The sequence below is a fragment of the Homo sapiens genome, chromosome 14 (genome assembly GCF_000001405.40).
Source record: "Homo sapiens chromosome 14, GRCh38.p14 Primary Assembly".
In the NCBI taxonomy this organism is placed as follows: Eukaryota; Metazoa; Chordata; class Mammalia; order Primates; family Hominidae; genus Homo; species Homo sapiens.
In genome coordinates this window covers 55,672,038-55,684,830 of record NC_000014.9, presented here as the reverse complement: position 1 = coordinate 55,684,830, position 12,793 = coordinate 55,672,038, and the positions used below count along the sequence as shown (strand labels likewise).

Below are 12,793 nucleotides of genomic sequence, written 5' to 3'. Positions count from 1 at the left end.
TACCTGAAGTGTGGGTGTTTAGTCTGAAATCCTAAATGCTTGCTCTGTCCTTTCTGAAACCCCAGCACTCCTGGGGCACTTTACATTGGACCAAACTGAAGAGGACCCAGAGCATCAGTTAGAAAGGTTACAGAGGCTACATAAACCTATCTTGTTGAATGGTTGCCAATTAATAGCTGTATTCTAAATTACAATGATCTGTACTACTAATGAAATCTGTTAAAGCTCAATAAAAATTAGAACAAGTCAAGTTTGAATAATAAGCATCCTTTTATTTGCTGACGCCATTACAAAAACCGATTACATTAGCAACAAAAAAGTGTTTTCTTGAGTTGAAGTCAGAGGCAGTTACTTCCCAAAATGTTAAGTAAAACAGTGTACAACATCAGTATTAAAATGTTAAATTTTACATTGTCTTTACCACTTTGATCTTCTGAACAATTTTATTGAGCAAAATAAGATAAAAGATTACATGTTTATCTTCAGGAATGTAAAGGTCTAATTATTCAAACAGTTTTTATTATAAAACTAAACTCTGAAGGTGTCTACAGAGTTGGCTTTTTTTTTTCCTTCTTTAAATCAGTAGTCTAACAAGGATTAGAAAAGACAAAACTCTGTTCAGTGTTTCTGACAAAGTAGAAAGGGTGAAAACATAAATAAGGCTTTAATTTGGCAAAATATAATACAATGCCTTTTTTATCCTCAAATGAACAGTTTCCCAATTACTTCACTCTGTAAAAGATCAGAAAGAATGAATTTCACTTTAAAACAAAGCAACAGAAGGCAATCAGAAGACATTTGTCAAACACCAAAAGTACATATTCCATTTGATCTAGCATGGCCCTTTCAAATAGACTCAAAGCAATTCACACTAATGGTAATCAAACTGAGAAAAATCTCAGGATTCAAAGGAAACAAGCTTTTAGGTAGATACTTTTAAATGTGAGCCAAATTCTGTTAGAAAACATTTAAAACAACAACACTGGTAATCCATTTTTATTAGTCCTACTCAAGAGAATGTAAAGCTAAAGTGAGTGAGTAGCACTGAAAAGGGGTTGAATACAACCTTACCCCAGTGAATAAATAATTTAAAAGAGCAGAAATAGATTTTTTTTTTTTTTTTTAGGTCATATGAAGTTTTCTAAGTCAGATAAGATGACTAAAGAAATTAAACTTCAAAAGCCATTAGAGAGACTAAGAGGACTTAACAAAACACAACATGTTAAATTTTGCCTTGGATTCTGGTTTGGGGAAAATAGTTAAAAAGCTATTTTGGGTACAATTGACAAAATGTGAATAAACGTTTAATATTGGATAGTACATAACTACTATTTTGTCTTTTTGGTTGTAATAATGGTACCACTGATTGGTAAAACAATGTCTTGTTTTCGGAGATGTGTGCTAAAGTACTTAGAGATAAAATGTCATAATGACTAAAAGTTACTTTCAATTAGTTTAACAACAAAATATGTAGACATATAGAAAGAGATGAAGCAGGTGGAGGGTTTACGGGTGTTGTACTATTCTTTCAACTTTATGTGTTGAAATAAAAAGTTTAGAGGAAAGAAGCAATTGGAAAATTAAAAAGCAAAGTTATCACTGGCTATTAACAGTTGATCGGAAAGTCTAAAAAGATCACTAGTACATTAAACTCTAAAGTGCTATGTAAACACAGAAAATGAAAACCTGATCCATATGATAGCTAAGGTTCAGTGTAGAAATAAGATAAGTTTTTCTCCAGAGCATTAACTCTTGTACTTCAGGAGCCCTACAAAAGGACTTTTTCTTTCAGAAACACTTAAGAATCTATTTGTTAAAGGGAGTACAGAGAGTACACACAGAGCTTCACCTCCATTTCTTCTGGATACTACTGTAAGCCTCTCCAATACGCTACTGACAAACCAAATATCAACTTTAGGAAAAAGTCAGAATTGATTGACAAAACTTCTAAGAGGCTGGCCAAAAAAAAATAAAAAGACAAAATGAGGAGAAAAGAAAACAGTGACAAAAGGGATCAGTGAACACAGTGCCTGAATTAGGGAGAAGAAAAGCACTGATTAAGAACACAAGCCCTGTACCCAAATTACCTTGATTTAAACCCCAGCTCGCCCATTTATTAGCCGTATGACCTTGGACAAGTTATAGAATCTCTTTGGGTCTGTTGTAACATGGTAATAATAATACCTACCTACCTAACACACAGGGTGGTTGTGAAGATTAAAGGAGTTGCCACATGTTGGAAGCATGCTTATGCTAACAGGCATACTCATGAAGTATCAGCTATTTAAATTATCATCCTCCCTCAACAGGATTCTATAAACTGGTTCCAAGATAAGGTAACCTGGGATAATAAAGTTTTCTGATTTGGTTAGAAATACACCTAGAAAACTTAGAAACCAGGCAAATGTGAAACATAAAGAGTAGATATCTGGGAACAAAAAAGTATATTATAAAATGCCAATACTGTCAATTCATATAAAAGGCATCTTAATCAATCTCCCACTCCCCACAAATGGAAAGCGGAGGATGGTACCCTTTTCTTTTTTTGATGGGGGGAGGAAAAATAGGTAATGGGGAAAAAAATTTCCAAAAGAAAAGTTTTCACAAATTAAAGATATCAGTTAAATACACCTACCCCTACAGCTCTAAGAAACGCTAAGTACTATGTATCAGGATTTAGAAAAACTACATCAATGCATATTATTTCTTGCATATTTGTTTTTAAAAACAACTCTCCCTTTATTGAATATGTGCAGCATTATCATAAACAATTCATAAGTACTTGTGTATATTTTTAAAGGTTTCTTGACATTAGATATATTAAGCTATTACCTACATTCTAATGATTGAGAAATGTGTATTTTCAATGTAATCATCTCGTGTCAGTTTAAATAGAGTATACAGGAGGGAGAATATATGTAGCAAAAATGATAGCTAAGGATAAAAACCTGAGGGTAACACAAACATTTAACGGGTATAAAGAAGAGCTACGGGAACCAAAACATAAGTACACAAGGAAGAATTATCAATGTCAATGCCAGGTAGAGCCTAAGGAATGAAGAAGTTCGAGAGTGCCTGGTGGGCCTCTATTTTCATAACAATCCAGCCTATCATTCATGATATAATACTGTCAACCACCCACTTGCCAAACTTGGACTTATGTTTATCAGCTGACAAAAGAATGTTGTGCTATCAGTTAGGAGGGGAGCTGCCTGCCAACTGCGTTGTGAGGGTATACAGACATATTTTAATAAATTACTATAATTCTGCAAATCAAAAAGAAAAAGTGTTATTATCAATGATTCATATGTCTCAAGTGTAATACAATTAAAACAAATGTGGCAATGGACAAGCCAAAAATAGTTCACAAGACTTAAAATGAGCAGACTATGTATTTAGGAAGAAAAGGAAAATATTAAAGAACATCTATGAGATGCTAAAGAGAGAATATCGCTTAGGTCGAAAGGCAAGGGGTAATAGGCAATCTTTTAATTGTTTAAGCTCTCTAGAAATGAAACCCTTCCCTTATAAGACAAAGGTCTAATGTCAGCATTTTTGACATATTTCATTAAGTACTTTCAGTATCTGATCACATGCAAAAGAAGGGCCTATATTGGATCTAGCAATTAGGGATCATTAATGATTTTTGCAAAAATGATTTCATTGAAATAGCAGGAAGAAAAGCCATTCTAGAGTGTATAAAGTAATCAATAACAATAAATAAGTAGATAGAGAGTATTTTCTTAAGAATACTAAATAGTAAAAAAGTAAAAAAATAAGGGTGGTAACCTGAAGGAAGTACAAGGTTAAAATAAGCCATCTGAGCATGTTTTCAAGACTGAACAGAGGGAGCCAGTGGAAAGAATAAGGCTGAAGTCCTGGGAAGAAGCGATGGAAGTTTCCCTAGGAAGCAAGGTTATTTCCTAATTTGGAAAAGCGAGGAAATGTGGCAGAATTTTTACATTGGGAAACTGGAGAAGTCAGCTTACCAAGGATAAAAGATTTGAGCTGAGGCTTAATTACTTTTGTTGATATGTTGAAGAATGAGCTGGGCTTATTATATGGAAAGTCATGTTAGAGATAACTGACCTGAATTAGCATTTTGAAGGAGAGCATGTGTCAAGGTAGGCCAGAGGATGATCACTCTAAAGTGAGACAAAACGCTCCTGTAAGATCAAAATGGAAGTCCATCCCAACTTTTCCAGGATACCTAAGCTCTCCCTGAGGCCTTGTATAGCCCAACACAGTATTATCAGGGGTTCTGAAAGGGATAATTCAGTGATGAGTTGCCCCTCAGGGTCTCCAGGATATCATGATTGTTTTAGAGAAAATATCTTCAAAAGAAGAATATCTGAAGTATTCAGTGCATATCTGAATACTCTAATTACACTCTAGGCAGTGTGACTTAAGTTATTCATAAAACAGGTAAAATCCAGGTAGCAACAGAAAAAAAAAAAAAAACCCTACAACCAGAAAAACAAAAACTGCATTCACCGGCTGGAATACAAGTCATTTTAAAATGCTACCAAATCTGAGCCTTCCAAGGTAATATAGACAATAAAAGCTCATAACATGACTTGGTTAATTATGGGTTTAGCTATCCTCAAGTAAAAATCTCACTTCAGGAGCTAATGAACGAATTTCTTAGATTACCTAACAAAAGCAAACTTGAATAAAAACCAGCTTTCAATTTTAAGACACTGTGATGACCTTACTTCCAGTTTAGCAACCTTACCTCAGTTAAAATGTTATGGTCATTTTATTTTGGGAGGGAGGAAAGGAGGAAGGAAGGGAGGGGGGAGAAAAGGTCACAGATACTTACTCTAAACTAAGAACAGAATAAATTAACGAAGCCGTTGCAGGTATTAAGGCAACACACAAAAACCCAGGCAGCCAAGTTACAAGAGAGTCTGTTTGATACAAAGGTCAAAGGAGGCACAGATAACCCCTCCAAGCTACAAGACCTTCAAGATATGCACAAAATAGAACTAAAGCTCCAAGAAAGCTTAAGGCTGTCATCTGGAAGTTCTGAGAGATAAAGAAGGAATATTTCCTCTAGTGAAGTGAGTTTATTTATGTAAATACACATTACACAGACACATAACATCAATTACCCATAGACAGCAATATTTCAGTTGTCCTTACCTAACACCTGGTAGTGCTCTTTCTCCTTTGTGAGCTGTTGGTTTACCGCCTGAAGCAACTGCTGTAACTGTGTTACAGTCTGATTTAGACTTACAGACATTGTCTCCTTCTCAGAAGACTCCTAAAAAGAAGATGGAAGTGATGATAAACTCCATACACAAGGAAAAGAAATGTAAAACCAAACAACAGAAAATGTTATATTGCTGATTTAAACACAAACATTAAAAAATCTGAACAATGACATGAAAATCAACAATAACAAAAACCACATAGAGAAATACTGTTTGCTAACTAGTGGTGCAAACTAGTTGGCACCAAAGAAAACTATGTTATAAATGTTGTCACTTGGACACAAAAGGAAAAAAAATCTAGAATCTATGAATATCAGAAATATATCCATTTTTTCTTTCAGAAAAAGAAAATTTGCCCCGCAAAAGAAAGTACATTCCAAACAGTAAAAAAAGTTAACATATACTGAGCTCTTAGTAAGTAAGTGCCAGGCACTGTTGTAAGTACCACCTACTATTTTAAGTGTTTTATGTATTAACTCATTTACTTCTTTCAAAAACCCTACAGGATAGGTACTATTATCATTGCCTTTTACAGATGGGGCAACTAAAGCACAAAGTGGCTAAAGATCTGCCCAAATTCACATGGCTACTAAGTGGCAGAGCCAGGATTCAAACATAGGCAGTCTAGCTCCAGAGTCTATACTCTAGGCCAGCAATACCCAACCGTTTTGGCACCAGGGACCAGTTTTGTGGAAGACAATTTTTCCACAGATGGGTGAGTGCGGGGATGGTTTCAGGATGAAACTGTTCCACCTCAGATCATCAGGCATTAGATTCTCATAAGGAGCATGCAGTTCACAATAGGGTTTGCACTCCTATGAGAATCTAATGCTGCCACTGATCTGACAGGAGGCAGAGCTCAGGCGGCAATGGTCATTCACCCACCACTCATCTCCTGCTGTGTGGCCTGGTTCCTAAAAAGCCATTGACTGGTACCTGTCCACAGTCCAGGAATTGGGGACCCCCGCTCCATACCTCTCAACACAACCCTTAAAATTAACATACCTCAATAAGCAAAAATGAGATCAAACATCAATGAAAACACTACATTTTAGGGACAGGATATTTTCAAGAAAGATGACTTTCGGAGATGGACCTTATACATTTTTGTTCTTTACACAGGTCACAAGGTAACTAGCTCAGAGATCTGGGGATGAAGAAAATACATACCGTTTCTGGGGAAACATCACTATTTTCAATAACAGTAGTGTCTCCAGCAGCTTTTACTATTTTTGACTGGATAAGCTCCAGTGACTGTTGAGCCTATAAGGAAAACAATATGGTAGCTACTAAGTAATACAGTTGATAAATACATAAAAAATGAATAATTTTATTCATTTTGTAGAAGATAAAAGCTCCTCTCAAAAGACGACACAGGTTTTTCCCTCCAAAATGAAAATAGCTTCACCCCCCACCAGATTATAAGAACATATGTTCACTGTTTTTAAAAGCTTAAGTAATGCAGAAACTATACAAAGAAATTTAAAAACAGAAATAACCATAGTTGATATTTAGGTTAGTATTAGTCTAGATTACAGGTTAGTCAAATCTGGCCCAAAGCCTGTTTTTGTACAGAATACAAGCTAAGAATATTTTTTACTTTTTAAAGGGCCATGTTGCTGGGCGCGGTGGCTCACGCCTGTAATCCTAGCACTTTGGGAGGCCAAGGCGGGCGGATCACCTGAGGTCGGGAGTTCGAGACCAGCCTGACCAACATGGAGAAACCCCATCTCTACTAAAAATACAAAATTAGCCAGGTGTGGTGGCACATGCCTGTAATCCCAGCTACTAGGGAGGCTGAGGAAGGAGAATCAACTGAACCTGGGAGGCGGAGGTTGCAGTGAGCCAAGATGGTGCCATTGCACTCCAGCCTGGGCAATAAGAGCAAAACTCCATCTCAAAAAATATATAATAAAATAAAGGGTTATGTTAAAAAGGAGACAAAAATATTCTAAAGAGATCATATGTGACCCACAAACCCTAAAAAAGCTTTGGGATTTGTCCACCCCTAGTTTAGATCCCTCTCTACATATTATGTGCTTATAGAAAATATTACATAAGTGAGCTTTAACATACATACTGCTTTATACTTACCTATTTTACAAAGTATGTTATTAACTTTTTTTTTTTTTTTTTTTTTTAGACAGTCTTTCTCTGTCACCCAGGCTAGAGTGCAGTAGCGTAATCTCGGCTCACTGCAACCTCTGCCTCCCGGATTCAAGCAATTCTTCTGCCTCAGCCTCCTGAGTAGCTGAGACTGCAGGTGCGCACCACCACACCCGGCTAATTTTTGTATTTTTAGTAGAGACGGGGGTTTCACCATGTTGGCCAGGCTGGTCTTGAACTCCTGACCTCAGGTGATCCGCCCACCTTGGCCTCCCAAAGTACTGGGATTACAGGCGTGAGCCACCATGCCCAGCCGTTATAAACTTTTTTTAGTCAAATATTTATGTGCTTTTCCAATCAAATGTTGCACAATATTTCTACTGTATAGGTATGGGGCAGTTAACTGTCACCTATCATTGCCATCTTAGCTACTGTAAATAAGATGGTATATCTATTATATAACTTTGAGCACCAGTTTGGTATTTTTAAAGTACTTTCTAAGAAACTACATTGCTAGGCTAAATTCCATGTTTATATTTTGATCCAGAGGTCAAAAATTAAAATCACGTATCAAAGTAAACTGACTGCTCAACCACAACAGTGTATTAAGCATCAAAGTTTGTCCTCTAAAACAGACCCAAATTCACATTCTGTCTACACTAAAATAACCTGACAACACTTGTGGATTCCTAGACTTTTACATAACAATTATAAACTATAAGCATATAGAATCAAAAAAAAATTTCTTTCAACTCTTTAAAAGGAGTATTATTTTTTAAAATGAGATAACTTTTAAAATCTATTAGAATATCAAATATTTAAATGTTAGACAGTATCTAATATTGGTGAGGGTATAGGGAAATACATGTTCTCATACCATGTTGAGAGGAGTATAAATTACTACTGTTGGGTTTCTGGGATTCCATTTTATACTATCAAAATTTAAGTGCGTACCTCTTGTTCTTGCAATTCCAAAAAGTGACACTTGTTTTGCTAATGATGATATATCCATAAACACTATCATAGCTCTAAAACAGCTTTGATATAAGAATATGTGAATTCTACTATTAAAAATAGATCTCAAAACAGAATTACAAATAACCTGTCAAACCAATGCAAAGAAATGCAGTCCTAAAAATCATTCATTTGCATTGAGATTAGGAAAAATATATTTGTATGAAGAAATAAATGAAGGAAAAACATCTAAAAAAAATAGAAATTTATATCTTTGTTTTATCCAAAAGACCAAGAGAAACATACTTTGTAAATGAATACACAGCCAAATCCCAATTTTAAAAAATATATGGATGCAGCCAAATTTTAATAACTCCAACTAAATTTTACTCTGTACTTTATAAAGCAATTAATTATAGAAATGTGAGGAAATAATGAGGTGAATTAAGAATCCTGGAAAAACAAGCCAAAACGTTTCATTCCAAAATACTAACTAATAACAAGCAGCTTAAATTTATAAAAGGTTAATATTATGATGCAAAACAACAAATCCAGAATTAGCAGCATAAGTTTGCTTAAGATTGAACACACAACACAGGCTCATGATACTACATCTCTAGGACGAACAGTGCCTACCTTATGCAAATCACCAGCTACCTTCTGTCTTTCATTTTGTTCAGTTCTAAGTTTTGTGAGTGTTTCATTTAACTGTGCCTTCAACTGTAAAAATAAAGGAACACCACAATTAACTTAATTTGCATCATTCTTTGATTATGCTGATACCTCTAGGACTGAAGAATGAATGGGACTGCTAACAGTTATTATGTACAGTGGATTAGCCAATATGCTGCACCAGATGTATAGAAAGGCTAAGCAGTAGAGGTTCCCATCTGTAAAGCTAAACATAAGAAAAGCCACAGAAATGAACTACAGTTTAGAGTAGAAAACTGCAAATGCAAAAACAAAACCATCAAATTCCAGTAAAGTACCTTTTAAAGATATCACTATTTATAACAGTCACTGAAATTATTTCAAATTAAAAGCCAAATAGATACTTTACCCGTTAGTTTTTAAAGGCTTTCTTAATCTATACAGTTCAATTAAAGAGTCAATTATACAATATTTTTAAAAACACTGAATAGAAGACTACAAATCCAGTCAAATTAAAACTCCCAAAATACTGACCATCGTTTAAGGCTTCACTAAGGGGTAGTACAAGACCACACTGGCCTGTATTATACCATCAAGAAATGCTTTACGATATACCTATGAATAACCCAATCTGTCAAAACAGAAAGTTCTGTAACTCCAATGCGAATATATAATGCCGCTTCTCTGATTTTCCAATTAAATATGAGCAAGGAAAATGAACTATACTGCTCCCAAAAAACTTTCTTCTTATTCTCATAAGGTAATTGTTTTTGCTTCCCACCCATGGGCACTTTTGAAACAGTTCTAGAGGCCCAAAGGGGGAAAGACAAGGCAGTGACATTTAAAATTGGAGGGAGAATTAAAAAGGGGTGGCAGTGGGGCGGAGGGAAATTCCACTTGGAAATTTTATCTGAGGAATTCTATGTAAGTACCCAAATAAATTCTGGTCCTTTACACAACTTTGAGTTTTAATATTCTCCATCAGAGAAATTAATCTTTTGGCCCAAGAATACACAAAGCACGTACAGGCAAACAAAGCTATTTTATCATAAAAAGTAGCAGCAGTTATTCTGAGCAAACAAACATTAAAATAAAGATCCCAAACTCAAGACTAGGGAAAAAAAGTAAGTATCAACCACTAAAAATGATCTCCTGACAGAAGTAGAGGGATAAAAAATCAAAATAAAGCATTAAGCCAAGTGGAGATGTAACCATGTAACTGTTGAGTCAGCCACTAAGCACCAAAGTTAATAAGTAAAACTCTAACAACTAGTTAGAAATGATTTTTTAAAAACATAGAGTGAGGACTTATAGCCATGACATATCACAGTCCTAATCTGTGCAATGCATAGCATAGAACCAGTCTCACAATGCAGGGTGAATGAGTTCAGTTAAAGTAAAACATTGGTACATAAAACAAAGATTTAAAAATTAGAGGTGTAGGGCTCTGTGTGTGTAGGGCTCTGTGTGTATGAACATCCCTAATCTGAAAATCTGAACTTTGAAATGCTCCAAAATCCTAAACTTTTTAAGCACTGACATGACACTCAAAGGAAATGTTCACTGGAGCATTTCAGATTTCGGATTTTCAGATAAGGGACACATACAGAGCAAGCATATAATACAAATAATCCAAAATCCCCCCCCAAAATTGCTGGTTCCAAGCATTCCAGATAAAGAATACGCAACCTGTATTTCATACCGCTCTACTCTAAAAATTGATTCCCATAAATGTTTGCCATAACATAGGATACCAACCACAAATGAATGAGTTAAAGTTTTCTTGGTACATGGAGTAATGCTAACAAGAAAATTCCAAACTGGGCAGGGTGAACTTTGGGTAAGGAAAAAACTTACTACTGTAATCTTCTGAGAGTTTATTAAGGTACTTAAAAAAAAAAAATCTAATCCCTGTGCTGTAACAATTTTTAACTCACAAGGAAGACATAACAATTGCTGTTTGAAACAGAGAGCAAGACAGCCATATTTGTCTAATAGCTAAGTCTGTCACAATCAGTACAGTTTTTAGAAAACTTGAGAATAGGAATACAGGGTATTATATGTTTTAAGACATTTAGCTAACTTTATCTCAAAGCCTATGCTTTTAGGATTACTATACTCTAAATAATATGTTGATAATAAAGACTCTTATACGCTTTTTAATATTTGTAATATATAGAGAGACTAGGTTAAAATTAGAAACTGGATTAGATTACTGCCCTTGAATGAAGAATATGTGTCTTTGACTTTCAATATAATCTTCTCCCAGGTTAGAAAATAAAAGGCCCCATTAACTATGATAGTCTGAGAAGAAAATCTTCGTAACTCAGCCAATCTTTATTTCATTTCTTTATTCACAGAAAAGACTGCTGTTTGAGAAAATAGGATTTATAAAACATGGAAAATTTTGAAAAAGAGTTGGAAGCCAAACATGCCATTGTTAGGAGCTAAGAAAAGAAGGATCATTTTAGGAGTCAAGAAAAGAAAGATAATCTTAGGAATCATCGGAATATGAAGATTATCTTAGACTTACAAAAAGGCCAAGCTAAAGATGTTAGCAAAGAAAAAAAAGCCTGGATGGTTTCTCCACATGTCAATAAAGTGTTTTCAGTGCCTACTTGATACCCAGTGGAGGACAAGCTTCTTACCAAATTTAGCTCTTCATTCTGTCTTACTGCTTCAGAATATGAATCATCAAGTTTTTTCTGCAATTCAGTCAACAGATCTTTCAGCTGCAATGAAGTTTAGAGTTTAAGATTGATCTCCTTATGATAGCCCATGTTTTGTATGCTACTCGGAAGCTCTGCCACAAACAACTTATACTGAAATATCACTGTTATAAACTTAATCTGAATTGAGAAGCAAGTTTGAAAAGATTCTGTTGTAAGTACCTCTCTGACTTCTGTAACATAGGTAGATCGTTCCATCTCTGCCTTTTCTAGTTCCATTTCCAAATGTTCTCGTTCTCTTCTCAGCTAGCAATGCAACAAAGGAAAAGTTAACACACTTAAAATTTCCTTTCATAATATTTCCCCACAAGACAAAATTATGACACTTATGAATATAAAACTATATCAACTCAAACACTACCCAAGATATTAAGAGCATAACTATAAAGTAATCTTAAACTATAGATCTTCAGACAACCGTTAATGCTAAAAACAAATCCATAGGTTACAAGTAAAACAATCAAATAACATACATTTTCAATATCCTTATTTTCGCTTCTTAATCGCTCTAGCTCTTGTTCTGAAGATGTAAATGATGACTGCATCTGAAATGTGAAACAATTACATGGCCAAGTAAAACCACCAAGGATATAGCAGTTTCTATCCTGTAGAATTCTGATCAATTAAAAGACACTTCCAAGGTTTTGAAATGCATCTCATTTAAAAGAGATGAATTTTAAAAGACCTTAAAAATGAGTCACATTGAACTTGATTTAAATTGTGGTCCAAACCTACTCCATTTGTATATTAGGCTCGGCTAAAAGTGATTAATTTTTTATTAGTATTAACTGATATTCAGCTGTATTTATTCTGCAAGTGCATTAGAGTACCATCAGCAACTGTAAATTCTGCACATTGGCCCCAAAAAATAAGTGAGTAATGGTACTCTTTATCACGCTGAAGTAAAAGGGAGAAAAATTAAGGTTGCAAAATAACATTCAGGTCCCAGGAATAGAAGAATGACTTTTTCTTGAATTCTATATTATGGGTTAAATACTTTAAAACTGATTTTGAACCCAGTATTCTTTACCTTATCACACAATAGTTCTGTAACTAGCATTCTACATTCTATATGATTACCCTTTAGTCATACTTTAAAACCAGTGATTTTCAAACTTGGGTGGGCATTAGACTATT

General features: G+C 34.8%; 1 protein-coding gene across 43 annotated transcripts in view; it reads right to left on the bottom strand.

Moving 5' to 3' along the window:
- Positions 1 to 246: 246 nt before the first annotated feature.
- KTN1 (kinectin 1) overlaps positions 247 to 12,793 on the bottom strand; it is a 104,378-nt gene continuing 91,831 nt past the window's right edge. For 24 of the 43 annotated variants that reach the window (NR_175284.1, NR_175286.1, NM_001402686.1 and 21 more), the window contains 6 exons: positions 12,130 to 12,201; positions 11,819 to 11,902; positions 8,913 to 8,996; positions 6,387 to 6,479; positions 5,146 to 5,266; positions 252 to 732 (listed from right to left, as the gene is read on the bottom strand). Coding sequence is in view for 33 of the 43 variants with exons in the window: in NM_001402686.1 (NP_001389615.1) it covers positions 728 to 732; positions 5,146 to 5,266; positions 6,387 to 6,479; positions 8,913 to 8,996; positions 11,819 to 11,902; positions 12,130 to 12,201 (459 nt within the window). In the remaining 10 variants the exon portion in view is untranslated. Of the gene's footprint in view, positions 733 to 4,089; positions 4,146 to 5,145; positions 5,267 to 6,386; positions 6,480 to 8,912; positions 8,997 to 11,575; positions 11,660 to 11,818; positions 11,903 to 12,129; positions 12,202 to 12,793 lie in introns of all 43 variants that reach the window. The other 19 variants (NR_175289.1, NR_175288.1, NM_001402682.1 and 16 more) reach the window with 4 other exon arrangements.